This window comes from Homo sapiens, chromosome 19 (assembly GCF_000001405.40).
Source record: "Homo sapiens chromosome 19, GRCh38.p14 Primary Assembly".
Taxonomy (NCBI): Eukaryota; Metazoa; Chordata; class Mammalia; order Primates; family Hominidae; genus Homo; species Homo sapiens.
The window spans coordinates 51736170-51758707 of NC_000019.10; the positions used below are offsets into that span (position 1 = coordinate 51736170).

General features: G+C 45.1%; 1 protein-coding gene across 2 annotated transcripts; it reads right to left on the bottom strand.

Moving 5' to 3' along the window:
* On the bottom strand, window positions 9003-15709 carry FPR1 (formyl peptide receptor 1). 2 transcript variants are annotated; one of them, NM_001193306.2, is made up of 3 exons: window positions 15645-15709; window positions 14034-14084; window positions 9003-10836 (listed from the first exon to the last, which is right to left on the bottom strand). In NM_001193306.2, the coding sequence occupies exon 3, from the start codon at window positions 10823-10825 to the stop codon at window positions 9773-9775; it is 1053 nt and encodes a 350-aa protein (NP_001180235.1). In that variant the 5' UTR covers window positions 10826-10836; window positions 14034-14084; window positions 15645-15709; the 3' UTR covers window positions 9003-9772. The 2 variants fall into 2 exon arrangements, with proteins under 2 accessions (NP_001180235.1, NP_002020.1); NM_002029.4 differs by lacking the exon at window positions 14034-14084 and having other exon boundaries at window positions 9604-10836.

A 22538-nucleotide genomic window follows, 5' to 3' on the forward strand; every position in this document is an offset into this window, starting at 1 on the left:
AGAGCTGCAGAAGTCCGGCGGCCCCTTTCTGTGACCTGGGCTGCAGGCACCCACAGTCCAGAGGCTCAAAACCACAATGCCGTCATTCCCAGTGAATGCTGTAAGATGAAGAGGAAATAACGCTGCCGTGGTTTCCCATGAGGGGATTACTTAAGAGGATGTCCTAACCCCCAGAAGCTCTGACTGCAACCTTATTTGGAAAGAGGGGTTTTGCAAATGTCATAAAACTAAGAATTTCAAGATGAGCATATCCTAGATTTAAGGTCGGCCCCAAACGCCACGGCAGGTGTCCTTATAAGAGTGAGGCAGAGGGAGGTAGACACTAAACACAGAGAAGAAGGTGATGTAAAGACGGCGGCAGAGATTGCAGTGATGCACCCACAAGCCAAGTGTATTAGTTTTCTAAGGGTTCTGTAGTAACAAAATACATCTGTCCCTCAGTGTCCTTGGTTCCACATGTAGTGGGGTTGACGGGTGGCCCCCAAAAGATACATCTAAGTCCTAACCTGCAGAACCTATGGATGTGACCTTATTTGGATAAAGGGTTTTAAGAGCTTTTGCAGGTGTCATGAAGTTAAGGATTTTGATATGAGATCTGGCTTTTCAACACTGATACCATCCTGGCCAACACCCTTCTGGTCCTTGTGATAATTTCCATTTTCCAAATGTTGAGAGATAACACAGAGATGAAGGAAGCTGCCCCAAAGCACATGAGACACGGCCTCCGCCATCAGCTCTTGTCATCGTATGTTCAAGTGTTCTGCAAAACTGGTCCGTGGAGCCCAAAGCATCCACATCATCTGTGTGCATTTGCTAAACATGACGACTACTGGTCTTCACTGTCATTTATTCAGATTTTGTGAGCTCAGGGCTATGGAAATGATTTAAACAAATGTCCCAGGTAATTCTTACGTACAGTTTGAGAACCATCTGATTAGGAAAAAAAAAATGCCTCCCAAAGTGAAATAAGAAGACTGAATGCCTGTAATCCCAGCACTTTGGGAGGCCGAGGTGGGAGCCCCAGGGGGTTCGAGAGCAGCCTGGCAACACAGTGAGAACTTGTCACTACAAAAAATTTAAAAATTAGCTGGATGTGGTGGCATACGCTTATAGTTCCAGTTACATGAGGGGCTGAAGTGGGAGGATCACTTGAGCCCAGGAGATCGAGGCTGCAGTGAGCTATGATTGTACCACTGCACTCCAGCCTGGGTGACAGAGGGAGACCCTGTATCAAAAAGAAAAAGAAAGTGATGCAGAGACATAGGTGGAGATTGGAGTGATGTATCACAAGCTAAGTGTACTAGTTTTCTAAGACTTCTGTAATAAAAAAGTACAGCTGTCCCTCAGTATTCTCTGAAGGTTGCTTCCAAGACCCTGCGGATACTAAAATGCACAGATGAGTTCAAGACACTTACATAAGATTGTGTGGTATTTGCGCATAACCTATGCACATCCTCCCATATACTTTATTTTTATTTATTTATTTATTATTATTTGTTTGAGTTGGAGTCTTGCTCTGTCACCCAGGCTGGAGTGCAGTGGTGCAATCTCAGCTCTGCCCCCTGGGTTCAAGCGATTCTCCTGCCTCAGTCTCCTGAGAGGCTGGGATTACAGGCACCCTCCACTATGCCTGGCTATTTTTTGTATTTTTAGTAGAGACGGGGTTTTGCCATGTTGGCCAGGCTGGTCTCGAACTCCTGACCTCAAGTGATCTGCCTGCCTCGGCCTCCCAAAGTGCTCCCATATACTTTAAACCATCTCTAGCTTACTGATGATACCTAATACAATATAAATGATAGACAGTTCTTCTACTGTATTTTTAAAATTTGTATTTTTTATTACTTTTTTCAAATATTTTCTATTCGTGATTGGTTGAATCCTTACATGTAGAAACCACAAATATGAAGGGCCGGCTGTGACACAAACTCAGGGGATTAAACAACAGAAATTTACTGTCTCAAAGTTTTGCCAGCTAGAAGTCCAGAATCAGGATGTTCCAGCAGACTTGGTTTCTTCTGAGGGCTGTGAGGCAGAATCTATTCTATGCCTCTTGCCTAGATTCTGGTGATTTTTTTTTTCTTTCTTTGAGACAGGCTCTTTCTCTGCTGCCCAAGATGGAGTACAGTCAGCTCACTGCCCACTAACCTCTGAGCCAGTGAGCTGACCCAGCCCCAATCAGCTCTTTGCAACTTCTGCCTCTCAGGCTTTAGCCAACCTCCCATCTCAGCCTCCCAAATAGCTGGGACTACAGGCACAGGCCACCATGCTCAGCTATTTAAAAAAATTTTTTTTGTAGAGATGAGGTCTCATTACATTGCCAGGCTAGCCTTGAACTTCTGGGCTCAAGCAATCCTCCCCCATCAGCCTCCCAAGTAGCTGGGACTATAGGTGGGAGACACCTCACCTGGTTAGCTTGTTTTTTATTTTTATTAATTTATTTATTTTTGAGAGGAAGTCTCCCTCTGTAGCCCAGGCTGGAGTACAGTGGCGCAATCTCAGCTCACTGCAACCTCCGCCTCCTGGATTCAAGCAGTTCTCCTGCCTCAGCCTCCTGAGTAGCTGAGATTACAGGCACGCGCGGCCACACCCGGCTAATTTTTGTATTTTTAGTAGAGACGGGATTTCTCCATGTTGACCAGGCTGTTCTCGAACTCCTGACCTCTGTTGATCTGCCTGTCTCAGTGTCCCAAAGTGCTAGGATTACAGGCATAAGCCGCAGCGCCCTGCCTATTTTTATTTTTTAGACAGGGTCTTGGTCTGTCACCTGGGCTGGAGTACAGTGGTGTGATTGTAGCTTACCACAACTCAGAACTCCTGGGCTCAAGTGATCCTCCCGCCTCAGCCTCCCAAGTAGCTAGGACCATAGGTGTGCACCACCACACCCTGCTCACTTTTTAATGTTTTGTAAGGACAGGGTCTTGCTATGTTGCCCAGGTTGGCCTCAAACTCCTGGGCTCAAGCAATCCTCCTACTTCAGCGTCCCAAAGTGCGGAGATTACAGGCATGAGCCACTGCACTTGGCTGCTTCTGGTGCCTGACACTGACAATCTTTGGTGATTTGCTGACAGTCTGTGGTGTTCCTTGGCTTGTGGAAGCATCACTGCAACCTCTGCCTTCCTCATCACATGGCGTTCTTCCCGTGTGCGCACCTGCATCCGAATTTCCCTTTTTTCATAAGGACACCAGTCATGTTGGATTATGGGTCCACCCTAGTCCAGTATGACCTCACCTTAACTTAAACAATTACATCTGCCATGATCCAGTATCCAAATAAGGACACGTTCTGAGGGGCTGGGGGTTAGGACTTCAACATAGGAATGGAGGGTGGGGAGAGGACAAAATTACATCCCTAACACCAAGGAATGCTAAGGATGGCAGCCGCCACTGGGAGCTAGGAGAGAGGCGTGGAAGGGATTTTCCTCCAGAGCCTCCAAAAGGAGCCAACCCTGCCGCCACTTTAATTTCAGACTTCTGGCCTCCAGTACTGTGAGATAATCCATTTCTGTGGTTTGAAGCCACTTGGTTTGTGGTAATGAGTTACAGCACCCTAGCAAACTAACATGCCAGCCCAGTGCGGGGTACATGTGGAGCGTAAGATGAACAAGCTCCTCTCTGTGCCCTGGGGAGGCTCACAGGGACCATGCATGCTCTTCTAAGGTGCACGTGATCAGAGCAGATCACTGAGGGAGCGTTTCCGCTCCCCTAACCCCAGGTGCAGGGACTTCAGAGTAATTCCTACTAAATGACCCCTACCACTGTTGCTTGACAAAGGGAGGTGCGAGGGGGAAAAAAGACTATGAGAATGGGAGAGGGCGGGTAATACAGGAAGTGTCACGTCACTCTGGTTGCAGAGGACAGAGAAAACAACCCTGTCTCCAGCAGGTGGAAATGGTCATAATGTTGATGGTGGCCATGATATGTATGTTTTTATCTTATTATATTTTGAGACAGGGTCTTGCTCTTACTCCCCAGAATAGAGTTCATTGGCATGATCATGACTCACTGCAGCCTCGACCTCCCAGGCCCAGCCTCGATTCTCCTGCCTCAGCCTCCTGAGTAGCTGGGACTACAGGTGTGCGCCACCAATCCTGGCTGATTTTTTTTATTTTGTATTTTTTTATTTTTGTAGAGACTCGGCTTTGCCATGTTGCCCAGGCTGGTCTGGAACTCCTGGGCTCAAGTGATCCGCCTGCTTTGGCCTCAAATGTTGGGGTTACAGGTGTGAGCCACTGTGCCTGGCCAGCCGTGATACAGATGCTCAGCTCTATGCTTCCCATCTCATGTTCATGAGCTCCAACCAAAAGATTCCCTCAGGCAGCTATTACTGCTCGCATGTTAAAGAAGAGAAAATTGACATTCGAAGAGGGAAGTGACTTGTCTGAGGTCACACAAGCAGTGACAGCCGGGATCTGAACATGACTGTTACAGGATCCAAAATACATGTGCTTTCTACACTGTGAGGTGCTGGTAGATGTTTAACAACTGGCTCTCCAAGGGGAAAAATGTATGTCTGTGTATAAACACATATGTTTATAATACATTTTGTAATTTTACTGATTATAAAGGATATGTACCACACACTTTACAAAGAATAATAATATAATCTAAAATTCTCTTTATTGTAAATGCCATACAATTATAACTTCAGGGTGACTTGCTATTTCTTGCAAAATCCAGTACTAGTTTTTATTTTATTTTTTGTTTTTATTTTTTTGAGCTGTAGTCTCGCTCTGTCACCCAGGCTGGAATGCAATGGTGCAATCTTGGCTCACTGCAACCTCTGCCTCCCAAGTTTAAGTGATTCTCCTGCCTCAGCCTCCTGAGTAGCTGGGATTACAGGCATGCGTCACCACGCCCAGCTAATTTTTGTATTTTTAGTAGAGATGGGGTTTCACCATGTTGGCCGGGCTGGTCTTAAACTCCTGACCTCAGGTAACCTACCTGCCTCAGCCTCCCAAAGTGCTGGGATTACAAGCATGAGCCACCATGCCCAGCCTGTTTGCAGATTTTTTAAATGTCTGGTTTAATAAAGGACAGATGAACTCTCTTTTCTTCTGTATCCAAACCATTGCAATAATTTTGTTTTTTGTTTTTTGTTTTTGTTTGTTTGTTTTGAGGCAGGGTCTCACTCTGTCACCCAGGCTGGGCAACATCGTGAGATCCCATCTCTGCAAATAAATAAATAAATAAATAAATAAATAAATTAGTTGGGCATGGTGGCATGCACCTGTAGTCCTAACTACCTGGGAGGCTGAGGTGGGAGTTTGAAGCTGCAGTGAGCTATGATCATACCACTGCACTCCAGCCTAGGTGACAGAGCAAGACCTTGTCTCAAAAAAAAAAAAAAAAAAGTGAGAATACAGCTTTGGGCTAAACTTAATAAGATTAACATTTATTTATTTATTTAATTTTATTATTATTATTATTTTTGAGACAAAGTCTCTGTGTCGCCCAATCTCAGCTCACTGCAACCTCCACCTCCCTGGTTCAAGTGATTCTCCTGCCTCAGCCTCCCAAGTAGCTGGGACTACAGGTGCCTACCACCACACCCGGCTACTTTTTGTATTTCCAGTAGAGACAGAGTTTTGCCATGTTCGCCAGGCTATTCTCGAACTCCTGACCTCAGGTTATCTGCTCACCTCAGCCTCCCAAAGTGCTGGGGTTACAGGTGTGAGCCACCACGCCAGACCCAAGATTAACATTTAAAAGGTAGACTTAGTAACACAGCTTACCCTCTCTATTGTGGGCGGGCCACGTCCAATCTTTTGAAGGCCTGAATAAAACAAAAAGGCTGGCCCTTCTACGAATAAAAGGAACTCCTTTCCTGTCAACCTTTAAGCTGAGACATGAGTTTTTTTCTTGCTTTTGGACATAAAATAAAAACATTAGCTCTTTCTGGGTCTCAAGCCTGCCAGCCTTTGGACTGGAACTACATCATTGTCTCTCCTTCTCAGCCCTTCAGACTAGGACTGGGACTGCACCACCAGCATTCCTGGGTCTCCAGCTCTCTTCAACGAAATCATTTTAGTGTACTGCCTTTTTCTTGAGGGGACCATTACTGATACAGAAAAAGTAATTGAGGCCAGGCACAGTGGCTCACGCCTATAATCCCAGCACTTTGGGAGGCCAAGGCAGGCAGATCACCAGAGGTCAGGAGTTCGAGACCAGCCTGATCAACATGGAGAAACCCTGTCTCTATTAAAAATACAAAAATTAGCCGGGCGTGTTGATGCGCACCTGTAATCCCAGCTACTCGGGAGGCTGAGGCAGGAGAATCATTTGAACCTGGGAGGTGGAGGTTACAGTGAGCCAAGATTATGCCATTGCACTCCAGCCTGGGCAACAAGAGTGAAACTCTATCTCAAAAAAAAAAAAAAAAAAAAAAAAAGAGAGAGAAAAAGTAATTGATTTTCCCCAGATCACAGAGCTTATAAGAGATGAGGTCCAGATTCCAATCCAGTCAACTTGTTAGGAGGGTCTGTATTCTTAACGTCTAAATTCTACAAGAGGGATTTTTTCCCCATAGAGGCACCATTCAGGGTGAGCTGGATATTGTTAGGATTTGGGAGCCGACAGGGGCTATCATTTATTCTCGTTCTTTGACCACATCATAGGCCATTGCCTCTTCTCTGTTTGCTGGTTCATGCAAGACCAGGAGCTCCCCCAGTAAGTGGCCGGAAGGGTAATACCCACCCCCCGCAAGCCAAGTCTCTCCCCATTCTCTTGCTCAGCCTCAGTCACGGGAACCACCCTGTGGTTGATTCATTCTGACAATTATTATAGGTAGCTTAGGAACGGATGGTTGAGTTGTGAGTTGCAGAAACTCGGTCAAGCTGGCTTAAGTTAAACCTGCTGGAAGAACACAAGGGAATTTAAAGGAAGCCAACTGCAGACAGTGCGTCTAGACCTTAGAGGAACTGGAACATTATCTGGTAGCTTCTCCCTACCCCTTGCAATCTGGGGCTTCATCATCTCTCACTTCTTCTCTGTTCAAATCCTCTGCTCAGTTCTCTCTCTGTGACTCTTTCTAGCAAATGATCCAGCCGGAGGGTGTTCTGGAGATTCTGCAAATTGGCAGAAGCGAGGGTGGTCTTGTATGAAGGGTCTGCCCTCTAACTTTGTAGCAGGGTCCTATTTTACTACACTCTCCTTCTGGGCCTCAATTTCTCCATGTGTCAGCATAGGAAGAACTCTCTGACTTAATGGAGTTGGTGACCAAAGGGGTTCCAGGATTTACAAGTATCCTGCGTAATTATAAAAGAGGTACAGAAGCAAAAGGTTTAGTTAAACCATCATTCATTGAAGCCTTTTGTATGCAGGGAAAAGGCAAGGATGACACGATGCCCTCCAGAAGCTCTGGGGTCAGTGGCATAGGTTAAATAAATGCATTGGATGCTGATGAGTAAGGCTTGCAGAGCTTCGTGGGGGGTGTACAGAAAAAATCATCATGGGAGTCTAGAGAAGAGCTAGATTCCCAAGGACCACATCATGTCATCAAAACTCAGGAATCTCCCCTTGCACTGAGATGAAATTAGCCCTCATCACCCAGCCCCTCACCCAAAGACAGGTTCTGCTGTAAGTTAATTCTGGATGCTCCAAGCTTCTCCTTCATCTCTCTTCTTTCTATTCATTCTCTCTCCATTTCTCTTCTGTTTCTTGTTTATAATAAAATGATGGCCAGGCGCAGTGGCTCACTCCTGTAATCCCAGCACTCTGGGAGGCTGAGGCGGGCAGATCTCCTGAGGTAAGGAGTTCGAGACCAGCCTGACCAACATGGAGAAACTCCATCTCTACTAAAAAATACAAAGTGAGCCAGGTGTGATGCATGCCTGTAATCCCAGCTACTCTGGAGGCTGAGGCAGGAGAATCGCTTGAACCCAGTAAGTGGAGGTTGCAGTGAGCCGAGATTGTGCCATTGCACTCTAGCCTGGGCAACAAGAGTGAAACTCTGTCTCAAAAATAAATAAATAAATAAAATAAAATACAATAAAATGATGATGTCTGTAATGGTAATTAAATGATTATTCAAGAGCCGACAACAGAAATCTTCTTGATGGGGTGTGGTGGCTCACACCTGTAATCCCAGCACTTTGGAAGGCTGAGGCGGGTGGATCACAAGATCAGGAGTTCAAAACCAGCCTGGCCAATATGGCAAAACCCCACCTCTACTAAAAATACAAAAAAATTTAGCCGGGCGCAGTGGCGGGCGCCTGTAGTCCCAGCTAACCTGGAGGCTGAGGCAGGAGAATCGCTTGAACCCGGGAGGCAGAGGTTGCAGTGAGCTGAGATCGCACCACTGCACTCCAGACTGGGCGACAGAGTAAGACTCTGTCTCAAAAAAAAAAAAAAAAAAAAGAGCTGGCACCAGAAATCTTCTTAAGGAGGATACTGTTATTGATAAATGACTTGAGTTAGGAAAGGAGACCTGAGGGATAAAGAGTCAGAGTCAAGGGTAGGATGGCTAAATTTCTCTGCGTTGTAAAAAAAAAAAAAAAAAAAAAAAAAAAAGCAGGAATCTGGAGGTGAGGAGATAAGAGGGAGGGTGGACTTTTAAAAGGATGTCTTAAGTTCAACTGGAAGCTTTCATGTTTGTCCGTTGCTGGCCAGTTGCATACTCTAACATTTCCAAGCTTCTTTCTGTAAAGTGTGTTTCATATTTAAATACCTTGTGCAGGTAGCTTTTCAGTAAATTGAAGGAAATGTCTGAGTTCCTCTCTGGGTTAATTTCATCAGGGCAGCAACCACCAGACATTGTGTGAACTGGACTAACTCAGTTGAAGCAAGACTTAGAGCCACAGGTAAAAACACGGGCCCTGGGGGCCCTCCCTTGTGGAGAGGATAATCTGTTTCCCAAAATTTATTATATAAAAGATTAGGCATCAGGTAGATCTCAAGGAAATGAGGGGTCTTCAGCTGACATCTCGATAACTTTATATTTTTACTGAGTTGTTGACCGATAAAGGCTGAGGACTTTATATAAAGTATCTTCTTTTTTTTTTTTTCTGAGCCGGAGTCTCTCTCTGTCACCCAGGCTGGAGTGTAGTGGCGTTTTCTTGGCTCACTACAACCTCCGCCTTCCAGGTTCAAGCGATTCTCCTGCCTCGGTCTCCTGAGTAGCTGGGATTACGGGAGCCTGCCACTACGCCCAGCTAATTTTTGTATTTTTAGTAGAGACAGGGTTTCACCATGTTGGCCAGGCTGTTCTCGAATTCCTGACCCCTGGTGATCCGCCTGCCTCGGCCTCCCAAAGTGCTGGGATTACAGGCATGAGCCACCGCTCCTGCCCTATATAAAGTATCTTCTTGTATATCTTGTCTGATTTAAGCCATACTCTTTCACACTTCTCCCTCCTCCTTCATTTACCTAGGATGACTATATAATTTATTTTTCACAGCAGGGCACTTTTCAGAATGGAAGTGGACACTACTCATCATGATGCCAGAATGATGGGTATCATTCACTACTCATAATTCAGGACTAATAATAATGGGTATTATTTGGGTTCATTTCAGGCAAACTAGGATGCAGATGACAGCTTCTTCCTATCATTTCCCACCCTGACCACCCAAGGCTGAGGTCCAAAATCAAAAAAGAAGTCAATAATAAACTCATATCTGTTTATTCTCCCCAAATCAGGGGACACAAAGGCTTTTTTTTTTTTTTCTGATGAGTGGGTAATCCTAAAATAAGCAGGAAATGCCTGTGGCTCAGCCTAACTCAAGGTGAGACGAAGCTGGAGCTGGGAGCTCGAAAGTGTCCCCCAGCTCCCTCCTCACTTTGCCTGTAACTCCACCTCTGCAGAAGGTAAAGTAGAATTGGTAGCTGTGTCACTGGTTTGGGTTGAGTCCTCGGTCAGGGCCCTCTCCAGACTGGCGGGAAGGGCGTGGATCAGCCTCTCCCGGAAGTCCTGGCCCATGAAGACATAGAGCATGGGGTTGAGGCAGCTGTTGAAGAAGGCCAGGGCACTTGTCACATCCACTGCAATACCAATTTCTTTGTACATGCCTTGCAATAACTCACGGATTCTGACTGTGGCTATAAGGGCCACCACCTGATATGGGGACCAGCAGAGAAAAAAGGCTGCTGCGACAAAGGAGAGGACCCGTAAGGGACGACTGGACTTAATCAAGCCTTGCTTGTGGATCTTGGTGGCAATAAGCCCATAACTGACAGCAACGATGGACATGGGTGCGCTGAAGCCAATGATGAACCGGATGATGCCTCTCACCGTCAACATGGCAACGGCCACATTTATCCTCTCTTTAGGGTCGTTGGTCCAGGGCGAAAAGTTAAAAGTGCAGGCTACTGTCCCCGTTTTACCAGGTACTGTAGTCACACGAATGATAACTGGCAATGTGAGGAGCAGAGCCATCACCCAGGGCCCAATGATCACCTTCTTGGCCAGGCTCACGGTGCGGTGGTTCTGGGTCCAGACTGGATGCAGGACGCAAACACAGCGGTCCAGAGCAATGAGGGCGATCAGGAAGACACTTCCGAACAAGTTGATGTCCACTATGGTAAAGACGAATTTGCACAGGAACCAGCCGAAAGGCCAATGTCCTCCCATGGCCTTCCTGACCATGAAGAATGGCAAAGTGGAGGTGAAACAGAAGTCAGCCACGGCCAGGTTCAGGTAACTGATGGTGGTGACTGTGTGTGTCATCCGGAATCCAGCCACCCAGATCACAAGCCCGTTGCCCAGGACCCCGAGGACAAAGGTGACTGCAAATACCAGATAAGTGATGATATCCAGGAAGAGATAGCCAGCAGATACAGCAGGTGTCCCTCCAGAGATGTTCGTGGGGAGAGAGGAATTTGTCTCCATCTTGTCTGCTCCTGAAATAGTGCAGTCGTGGTCATTCCTCAGTTATGAACCTCCGTACCATTTCCCCACCCCCTCATTTCTGCCCCTGCCAGTTTTCCCACTCCTAGCTTTCTCACCTTCCCCTAGAGCTCCCACAACAGCCGGAACATCCTCACCACTGTCCCTTACACATGCCCACATCTATACATTGGCAATCTTTTATTGTACCTGTTGGGCAAGATTACATCTTTTTTTTTTTTTTTGAGATGGAATATTGCTCTGTCACCCAGGCTGGAGTGCAGTGGCGTGATCTCTCACTGCAACCTCCACCTCCCGGGTTCAAGCAATTCCCCTGCCTCAGCGTCCTGAGTAGCTGAGACTACAGGTATGCACCACCCCACTCCTGGCTAATTTTCGTATATTTAGTAGAGGTGGGGTTTTGCCATGTTGGCCAGGCTGGTCTTGAACTGCTGACCCCAGGTGATCCACCCACCTCAGCCTCCCAAAGTGCTGGGATTACAGACGTGAGCTACCACGTGTGGCCAAGATTGCATCTTATGACACATCCTCATAATTGCTAACATGCAAGCCCCTACCAGGGAGATTAAATGGCTAAGGAAGATAGGGTCCTTGACCTCCAAGAGGAGAATATGGGGCCAAAGATGTATAGAGAAAACATGTATTCAAACAAAAATGTTCATAGAGACACTCCTCCCTATAGCCAAAAGGTAGAAACAACCCAGATGTCCATCAACAGATGAATGGATAAACAAAATGTGGTTTATCCACCCAATGGAATATTATTCTGCCATAAAAAACAATGAAGCACTGATATATGCTACAACGTGGCTGAACCTTGAAAACATTACTCTAAACAAAAGAGGGCTGGATGTGGTGGTTCACGCCTGTCATCTCAGAGCTTTGGGAAGCCGAGGTAGGAGGGTTGCTTGAGCTCAGGAGTTCATGATCAGCCTGAGCCACATAGCAAGATCCTCATCTCTAACAACAACAACAACAAAATTAAATTAAATTAGCTGGATGTGGTGGCACACACCTGTAGTCCTAGCTACTCAGAAGGGTGAGATGGGAGGCTCACTTGAGCCCAGGAATTCAAGGTTAATAGTGTACTATGATTGAGCCACTGCACTCCAGCCTGGGCAACAAAGCAAGACCCTGTCTCTAAAATGAAAGAAAAAAGAAAGGAAGGAAAGAAGGAGGAAGGAAGGAGAGAAGGAAGGAAGACACCACAAGTCACATTTTGTATGATTCCACTTGTATGAAATATCCAGAGTAGCCAAACTCACAGAGACCGAATGCAGATTAGTGATTGCCAGGGACTGGGGAAACTAGGAAGTGGGGAATTGTTGCTTAATGAATATGCAGTTTTTGCTTGGTGTGATTAAAAAGTTCTGGAACTAGATAATGGTTATGGTTGCAACACACTGTAGATGTACTTAATGCCATTGAATTGTACATTTAAATGGGTAACTTTTTTATTGTTGTTTGAGACGCAGTCTCGTTCTGTCACCCAGGCTGGAGTGCAGTGGTGCGATCTTGGCTCACTGCAACCTCCGCCTCCCGCGTTTAAGTGATTCTCCTGCCTCAGCCTCCTGAGTAGCTGGAATTACAGGCACTTGCCACCATGCCCAGCTAATTTTTATATTTTTGTAGAGATGGGGTTTCACCATGTTGGCCAGCCTGGTCTCAAACTCCTTGACCTCAGGTGATCTGCCCGCCTCGGCGTCCCAAAGTGCTGAGATTATAGGCGTGAGCCACTGTGCCCAGCCTAAAATGGTTAACTTTTTGTATTTTACCATCAATTTAATAAAGGAAAAATAAGAGCATAAGATATCAGAAAATCAGTGGGCGACAGCTTCAGTGACCTAGTGTCACACAAACGTGGACTAAGACTTTCTCTCACCCATAACACTGCATAAGAACTATAAGGTATGCAACTTCTCAGCCAGGCGCAGTGGCTCACGCCTGTAATCCCAGTACCTTGGGAGGCCGAGGCGGGTGGATCATGAGGTTAGCAGTTCGAGACCAGCCTGGCCAACATGGAGAAGCCCCATCTCTACTAAAAATACAAAAATTAGCCAGGCATGGCGGTGGGTGCTTTTAGTCCCAGCTACTCCAGAGGCTGAGGCAGGAGAATCACTTGAACGTGGGAGGCGGAGGTTGCAGTGAGCAGAGACTGCGCCATTGCACTCCAGCCTGGGCGACAGAGCGAGACTCCGTTTCAAAAAAAAAAAAAAGATATGCAACTTCTCCACTCCAAATTCTGCTCGCTCTCTCTCTTTAAGGTCATGAAATCTCCCTTTCCTCTCTCATCGTGGGAAGCAAGGCATAGTACTTGGTTAGTTTTCCAACATAGGTCAAATGGATCCGTGAGTGATACTAAACGACGTATAATCAAGTATTATATCCAATGGATTCTGTGCTAGAAGAAGTCAGAACAACAGACTCTGTTTCCACTCTCGTCTCTGCGGTTACCTTGGCCAGATGGATGGGAGGTGCTTCTCCATCCATTGGATGGGCTCAGCACTCTTGGGGATGTAGAAGACCGTGATAGAAATAATAGTCCAAATATGTATTGGATATGACATTTCATTAGATCAGGTATGCAAAGTGCATGTCAGGTTCTTGCTGAGAGCTGGCCTTCTCTCTTTTTTTTAATTTATTTTATTTTATTTATTTATTTATTTTGAGATGGAGTCTCTCTCTATCACCCAGGCTGGAGTGCAGTGGCGTGATCTGAGCTCACTGCAACCTCCGCCTCCCAGGTTCAAGCAATTCTCCTGTCTCAGCCTCCTGAGTAGCTGGGATTTCAGGTGCACGCCGCCGTGCCTGGCTAATTTTTCTTTTTAATTGTATTTTAGTAGACATGGGGTTTCACCATGTTGCCCAGGCTGGTCTCAAACTCTTGAGCTCAGGCAGTCCACCTGCCTCAGCCTCCCAAAGTGCTAGGATTACAGGTGTGAGCCACTGCGCCCGGCCTGGTCTTCTCTTCTAATGCTTGCAGCAGCCTTCCTCAAAATTGTTACTATGAGGGTCACTGTCTTTATGGTACCCATTTTGCAGACGAGGAAAGTGCGACTTAGAGCATTTCAGTTAATTCCTTAAAGTCACCCAACAGCCCAGGCTGTCGAATTCCAGCAAAAGTCTCTTTCTGCCTCTGCCCTGCCACGCTACTGGCACAGAAGAGCTGTCTAATGCACTAGTCACTCACCACATGTGGTTTTCAAGCACTTGAATTGTGGCTAGTCCAACTGGAGACAGGCTGTAGGAGTAAAATACCCATCAGATTTCAAAGACTTAGTATGAAAAAAATATTGTGACCATCTCATTAATAGTTTTTATATTGACTACATGTTAAAATGATAATAATTTGGCTATTTAAGTTTAGGTTAGATATTTTATTAAAATTAAGTTCGCATGTTTCTCTTCACCTTTTTAAAGTGCCTACTTGACACTTTGAAATTACATATGTGTCTCACATTTCTAATGAACTTTGATACTCTACAATCTCAGAAACAACTCAGAGATGTCTCCCTCCCCTACCACCCATCCAACCACCAAAATACCCTGAGGACTCTTTGTCCTCAAGAATCTCTAAGGCAACCAGTTCAGAAGATTGTTGCAATGAATGATGAGGATTCTGCAATAATGAGCTGGAACATACCAGAGAGGAAAACCTGTGCAATTTTGTCCAATTATGGTTCAAGGGAAAAATCCTGTGATTTGCAATGAACACAGGCCTTGGTGGCTGCCATCGATGAAGGACTTTATGCTTGATAATCATTGTACCACATCCTCAACTTTCTTGCCTCTGATCTCAACAAACTCAGCATTGATTATACATCATCATCCCTGTGTGACGGAAGAGGAAACTAGGAGCTTGATGAGAAATGACAGCCAATGTCTGCAGATTCATGAGAGGGCAGGGCTGTATTCCGCTACTGGGTCCTATGCACCATGCAGAACCAGTGTCTTCACGTGGAGACTCATCACTGATCCGAAAGGTGACTGCTTCTGTATTACACTCATTTCCCCATGACCCATCATAAAGTCGTTAGGGCTCTTTTGCTTTCTCCTGAAAGCTTCAAACCAAACATCCTTTCCCATCCCGACTCAAGCCCTCAAGCTGATGCCCTTGCCTCTTGCTCCACCAGATTCTCCTCCTGCTGGCTCCTGCATCACTGTTCTCTGCCCTCATCTCTGTAACCAGAAAACAAGTGTTTCCATCCAAGAATTACCCTCTACTGGTCCCATAAAACTCATTCCCCCATTTACTCAAGAACTTCCCTCCTTCACTTATCCCTTCTCTCTCCTGCAGCCTCATAGTGTCTCTATATTCCATCATTCCCATCAGGACCCCAATAAAGTCTAGAGCCTATTTGTTTATTTATTTATTTACTTATTTATTTGAGATGGAGTCTCACTCTGTCACCTAGGCTGGAGTACAGTGGTGCAATCTGAGCTCACTGCAACCTCCACCTCCCAGATTCAAGCAATTCTCCTGCCTCAGCCTCCCAAGTAGCTTGAATTACAGACGCCCACCACCACGCCTGGCTAATTTTTGTATTTTTAATAGAAGTGAGGTTTCAACATGTTGGCCAGGCTGGTCTCGAACTCCTGACCTCAAGTTATCCACCTGCCTTGGCCTCCCAAAGTGCTGGGATTACAAGCATGAGTCACCGTGCCCGGCCTGTTTAGAACCTCTTTAAAAAAATTATTCTTCAACTCCACATCCTTCTTCAAACAAAGAGTCTATTGTGTTCACCAGTGTATTAAGTGTGTCTATGTCAAGCTACCCAGTCCCCCAGAATATGTTTCTTACCTGGACTGTTCACCAGCTGTGGTCTTGCTCTGGGTAGTTCTAGGTCTGGGTCTCCTGGGGAGAGTGACTCAGGCTCTAATGATTGCAGCAAAACATACACCAAGGAACAGGAGGAGGGGTAAAGGAACTAAAACCAGCTGGGTAGCAGGAAATAGGAAGTCTGAGCTTCTTCTGATTTTTGATGGCCCCAAGAATACACCAATATACTGTCTGCTTTAATGGCATTAGGACAGTGGGCTGGGCCTGTTTAGAAACTCATGTACCTGACTGTATTTCTCAGCCTCAGTCTCTGTGGGATGCAGAGGTTCAGTGCTCTCAACAACAAGGGCCAAGAAATCCAAGTGTCCGGGCCCCTGCTCCCTCCAAGGGTCAAGGTAAAGAAAGCAGCAAGCACTGTGGTGAGAAGAATCAGAGGGAGGCAATGAAAGGAAGAGAAGAAGTCATGAGGGATGGAGACCAGAAACACAGAGAGAGGTAAGGGAGTGGGGGAAGTTGAGACAGTTGGCAGGACAGCGCGTCCACACCCATGCACACCACCAAGATTAACCCCATAATCCTCTGATCTTGTGGAAGCTCATTTGTAGTCTTCTAGCCCAAAGAAATAACCGTTTTTCTGAAATGTTAAGCATCCTTCCAAGGGTATCAGAGTGATATGGAGAAATATGGTAAGACAGTTACAGAATCAGAGATAACGACACTGATTCTAAAAGCATTATTACCAAGGCATTGTTGCATTAAGACTGTTTTTTCTTTTCTTTTAGAGACAGTATCCTGCTACGTTGCCCAGGCATGTCTCAGACCCCTGGGTTTAGTGATCCTCCTGCCTCAGCCTCCCCAAATGCTGGGATTACAGGCATGAGCCGGGCTGTTTTTAATTCTAAGTAATTTATAATTTACAATTACACCTAACAATGGCTTCAACAAGGGGTGTCCAATCTTTTGCCTTCCCTGGGCCACACTGGAAGAAGAAGAATTGTCTTGGGCCACACATAAAATACACTAACACTAACGATACCTGATGAGCTAAAAAAAAAAAAAAAAAAAAAAATCCCCCAAAAATCTGATAATGTTTTAAGAAAGTTTATGAATTTGTGTTGGGCTGCATTCAAAGCCATCTTAGGCCATGGGCTGGACAAGCTTAGCTTAGAACCAAGACGAAATTTATGGTTTACTTTACAAGAATTTTGCAAGAGGGTAATACTAGGTTAGGTTATATCTGGAAAATATCATCAAGAACTACATTCATTTTAATCTTTTCTCTTTTTTATCCCTAATATGGTGACTTTTTTTCCTGGGGATTGCCACTTCATGGCTCCAAGAAAGCTACCACAGCTCCTGACTTCACATTACAGCAGGGGTCCCCAACCTCCAGGCCATAGACCAATACACAGACCGATACCGGTCTGTGGCCTGTTAGGAAGTGGGCTGCACAGCAGGTGACTGGCAGGTGAGCAAGAGAAGCTTCATCTGTATTTATAGCCACTCCCCATTGCTGGCATTACTGCCTGAGCTCTGCCTCCTGTCAGATTAGTGGCGGCATTAGATTCTCATAACAGTGTGAACCCTACTGTGAACTGTGCATGCCAGGGATCTGGGTTGTGTGCTCCTTATGAGAATCTAATGCCTGATGATCTGTCACTGTCTCCCATCACTCCCAGATGGGACTGTCTAGTTGCGGGAAAGCAAGCTCAGGGCTCCCACGGATTCTACATCATTGTGAGTTGTATAATTATTTCATTGTGTATTACAATGTAATAATAATAATAGAAATAAAGTCTACAATAAATGCAATGTGCTTAAATCATCCTGAAACCATCTACCCCGCCACCCCATGGAGAAATTGTTTTTTATGAAACTGGTCCCTGGTGCCAAAAATGTTGGGGACTGCTACACTCCAGCATCCCACACCAGGAGGATGGGGATGAGATGGAGAATCACTGAAGATCTTTAATCAGAAGGGTGATATGTTCATTTGTACTTTATAAACATTTGTGTTTGTATTTTATAAACATTTTCTTGGGATCATAACAACAGATGCATTTTAGAAGATTCCCAAGGTATGAAGGGTAACAAATGAAGACGTGCCTAGGAGTCACATGGAAGCCAACACTTTGTAAGGGGATTAAAATAAAGGGAATGGCAGAGGACATCATTATGCACAGAGGAGAAGGGCCCAAATGTCAAGAGAAAACAAGAGACAAGGGACTCCACAGAGAGTAATTGCCAGAAAAATTTGTAGGTCTTTTGAAGTCTGACTGTTCTTCCTAAAACGGGGGTCCTGGGACACCCCTACCTGTTTCCCATGAGCCCTCTTTTCTAAAACATAAGTAGGTTTTCTTCCTGGCTACCAAATGGCCTGTGATTAGCACACTAGGTTGGGCAAAAATAGAGCCAAGTGTGTGTTCCAAAGTGACTATGGTGAAGAAAAAAGCGAAAGTCTTAAAATGGACTTCCACTTCTGTGTTTGCGTAAGGCTAAAAGGGAAGATGTCTTAGGGTTGACCGGAATGGGAGTATTCCTGCCTATGCTGCAAAAGTCCCTGACTCTTCTGGTAACTGAAACATGAGAAATGGCCTCGGCGAGCAGCACAGCCTCCCAGTAAAGCACTGGACTGAGGTGGTAAAGCCAGATTGCCTGGACTAGAATCCCAGGACTACTGTTCACTAGCTCCGGACAAGCCAGCTAATCCAGGGGTCTCAAACATTTCCCCCAACTTTTTTTTTTTGAGACAGAGTCTCACTGTGTCACCCAGGCTGGAGTACGGTGGTGTGATCTTGGCTCACTGCAGTTTTGCCTCCTAGGTTCAAGTGATTCCCCTGCCTCAGCCTCTCCAGTAGCTGGGATTACAGGTGCCCGCCACCACGCCTGGCTAATTTTTGTATTTTTTAAGTAGAGATATGGTTTTGCCACGTTGACCAGGCTGGTCTTGAACTCCTGACCTCAAACAATCACTTGCCTTGGCCTCCCAAAGTGCTGGGATTACAGGACGGAACCACTGCACTGGGCCACAAACATTTCCTATGAAGAGCCAGATGGTCAATATATTTCATTTGGCAGGCCATAGGGTCTCCATCACAACTCCTTGGCTCTGCTGTTGTAGCCTGAAAACAGCCACAAGCAAAGTTGTAAATGAGGAGCATGACTGTATGTCAATAAAACTTTATTTAAAACACGACAATTGGACTTCATATAAGTTTTGCATGGCACAAAATACCCTTCATTTGATTTTCTTTAGCCGGTAAGAAATATTAAAGCCATTCTTGGCTCTCAGGCCATACAAAAACAAGCGGTGGCTAGATTTGACCCCTGATTTAACTGCACTGGGTCCCAGACACTTCACCTGTGAATTGAGAGCAATGATACTTACAGAGGTGTTTTCTGGAGCAGAACAAATAAGATCAGTGATACAAAGCACTTGGCATGAATTCCAGTGCAATAAGTATTATCAATATCTTAGTAATTACATAAACCTCTCTATCTGCTGTTTCACGTTCTCTGCGGTGAACCCATCCATGCTTAAAACTTGAACCACACCTCAGCTAACATTCACCAGACCCCTGTCTCTAGCTCAGACCTGCCCTTGATGTTCAGACACATCATTTTGGGTTCCTGTTTCCTTTCAAACTCATCTGCAGCCTTTGCTCTCCTCACCTTCTCCCACAACTCTGTTAAGGACTAAATTGTGTCACATTCCCCTTCAAATTCTTAGGTTGAAGCCCTCACCCCATGATATGGTTTGGCTGTGTCCCAACCCTGATCTCATCTTGAATTGTAGCTCCCATAATTCCCACGTGTTGTGGGAGGAACCAGGTGGGAGATAGTTGTTTCATGGGGACGATTTCCCCCATAATGTTCTCATGGTAGTGAATATGTCTCACGAGATCTGACGATTTTATGAGGGGTTTCCCCTTTCACTTGGTTCTCATTCTCTTTTGCCTGCTGCCATGTAAGATGTCCCTTTGTTCTTCCTTCGCCTTCCGCAATGATTGCGAGGCCTCCCCAGCCACATGGAACTGTGAGTCCATTAAACCTCTTCCCTTTATAAATTACCCAGTCTTGGGTATGTCATTATTAGCAGCATGAGAATTGACCAATACACCCCAGCATGTCAGAATGTGACTGTATTTGGGGATACAACCTTTAAAGAGGTAATTAGCTGAAACTGAGGTCATTAGGGTGGGCCCCAACTCAATATGACTGATATCCTTATGAAAAGAGGAGATCCAGACACAGACAGGCATAGAGGGAAAACTGTGTGAAAACATGAGGAGGAGGCGGTATCTGCAAGCCAAGGAGAGAGGACTCAGGAGGAATCAACCCTGCTGACACCTTGATCTTAAACTTCCAGCTGATAAAACTGTGAGAAAATATATTTCTATTGTTGTAGCCACCCAGCCAATGGTATTTTGTTATGGCAGCTCTAACAAACTAAACACTCTGCTTCTTTTCATTGACTCTCGTCTCAATGACAGCCCCCAAATCCACGCAGTTACCTTGGTGCAACAGTTCTGAAGAAAATGGCCACAATATTCTTGGACACTCCTTCCACTGACAGGAAGGCAGGCATATTGTATCGCCTCTCCCCTGGAACCTGGGTAGGGTTGGGACTACTTTGACCAAAGAACGTGGTAGAAATGACTTCCACGTAGCTTTCAAGGCTAGGTCAAAAAAGGCTAGGAAGCATCTTCTGGTTCTCCTGGGACACGTGTTCTGGAGGAAGGCAGCCATTGTCCTGGGACTTTGATTCCTCTGAGACCACCATGCTGGAAAGGCTGCCTGTAGGCACTTGGTGCAATACCAGCCTAGTTCAGCATTTGAGTCATTCCAACCCAGGCATCTGACATGTGAATGAAGGAGCTCTAGATGACTCCAATTCACAGTCTTCTAGTCACCCCCCAGACCTTTGAGTTTTGGGTGGCAGAGACAAGCATCTCTGTGCCTTATCCTAATTCCCAACCCACATAATCCATGAACGTAATGAAATGGTTGTTTTACATGCTATGATTTGGGTGGTTATACAGCAATTATGAATTATGAATGTGGGCTTCATAAAGACCCTTCATGCTTCCTCATTCTCCAGAGCCATTTGGTCTCCAAGCTCAGTCTACCAAGCCTGGAAATCTCTCCCTAAACTACACCTCCTCTCTAGCACACTACTCCAGCACAGGCAATTATTCGACAAGTTCACCTTGATCTCTGGCAACTTCTTACCCTTTAAGATCTCTGCCTCCAACTGGGAGCATTCTCAGAGCCATCCCTTTGCAGGGGGACTCTAGAGCAATGTTTTCTGGAAGCACACACCTGACAAGTCACTCTCCTGCTTAAATAGCTTTTAAGCAGAAGAAATTGTAAGAAAGAAATTTTTTTTTAGACCAATATCCTTGATGAACATTGCTGCAAAAATCCTCAATAAAATACTGACAAACCAAATCCAGCAGCACATCAAAAAGCTTATCCACCACGACCAAGTGGGCTTCATCCCTGGGATGCAAGGCTGGTTCAATATACGCAAATCAATAAATGTAATCCAGCATATAAACAGAACCAAAGACAAAAACCACATGATTATCTCAATAGATGCAGAAAAGGCCTTTGACAAAATTCAACAACCCTTCATGCTAAAAACTCTCAATAAATTGGGTATTGATGGGACGTATCTCAAAATAATAAGAGCTATCTATGACAAACCCACAGCCAATATCATACTGAATGGGCAAAAACTAGAAGCATTCCCTTTGAAAACTGGCACAAGACAGGGATGTCCTCTCTCACCACTCCTATTCAACATAGTGTTAGAAGTTCTGGCCAGGGCAATTAGGCAGGAGAAGGAAATAAAGGGTATTCAATTAGGAAAAGAGGAAGTCAAATTGTCCCTGTCTGCAGATGACATGATGGTATATCTAGAAAACCCCATTGTCTCAGCCCAAAATCTCCTTAAGCTGATAAGCAACTTCAGCAAAGTCTCAGGATACAAAATCAATGTACAAAAATCACAAGCATTCTTATACACCAATAACAGACAAACAGAGAGCCAAATCATGAGTGAACTCTCATTCACAATTGCTTCAAAGAGAATAAAATACTTAGGAATCCAACTTACAAGGGACGTGAAGGACCTCTTCAAGGAGAACTACAAACCACTGCTCAATGAAATAAAAGAGGACACAAACAAATGGAAGAACATTCCATGCTCATGGGTAGGAAGAATCAATATCGTGAAAATGGCCATACTGCCCAAGGTAATTTACAGATTCACTGCCATCCCCATCAAGCTACCAATGACTTTCTTCACAGAATTGGAAAAAACTACTTTAAAGTTCATATGGAACCAAAAAAGAGCCCGCATTGCCAAGTCAATCCTAAGCCAAAAGAACAAAGCTGGAGGCATCACGCTACCTGACTTCAAACTATACTACAAGGCTACAGTAACCAAAACAGCATGGTACTGGTACCAAAACAGAGATATAGATCAATGGAACAGAACAGAGCCCTCAGAAATAACGCCGCATATCTACAACTATCTGATCTTTGACAAACCTGAGAAAAACAAGCAATGGGGAAAGGATTCCCTATTTAATAAATGGTGCTGGGAAAACTGGCTAGCCATATGTAGAAAGCTGAAACTGGATCCCTTCCTTACACCTTATACAAAAATTAATTCAAGATGGATTAAAGACTTAAATGTTAGACCTAAAACCATAAAAACCCTAGAAGAAAACCTAGGCATTACCATTCAGGACATAGGCATGGGCAAGGACTTCATGTCTAAAACACCAAAAGCAATGGCAACAAAAGCCAAAATTGACAAATGGGATCTAATTAAACTAAAGAGCTTCTGCACAGCAAAAGAAACTACCATCAGAGTGAACAGGCAACCTACAAAATGGGAAAAAG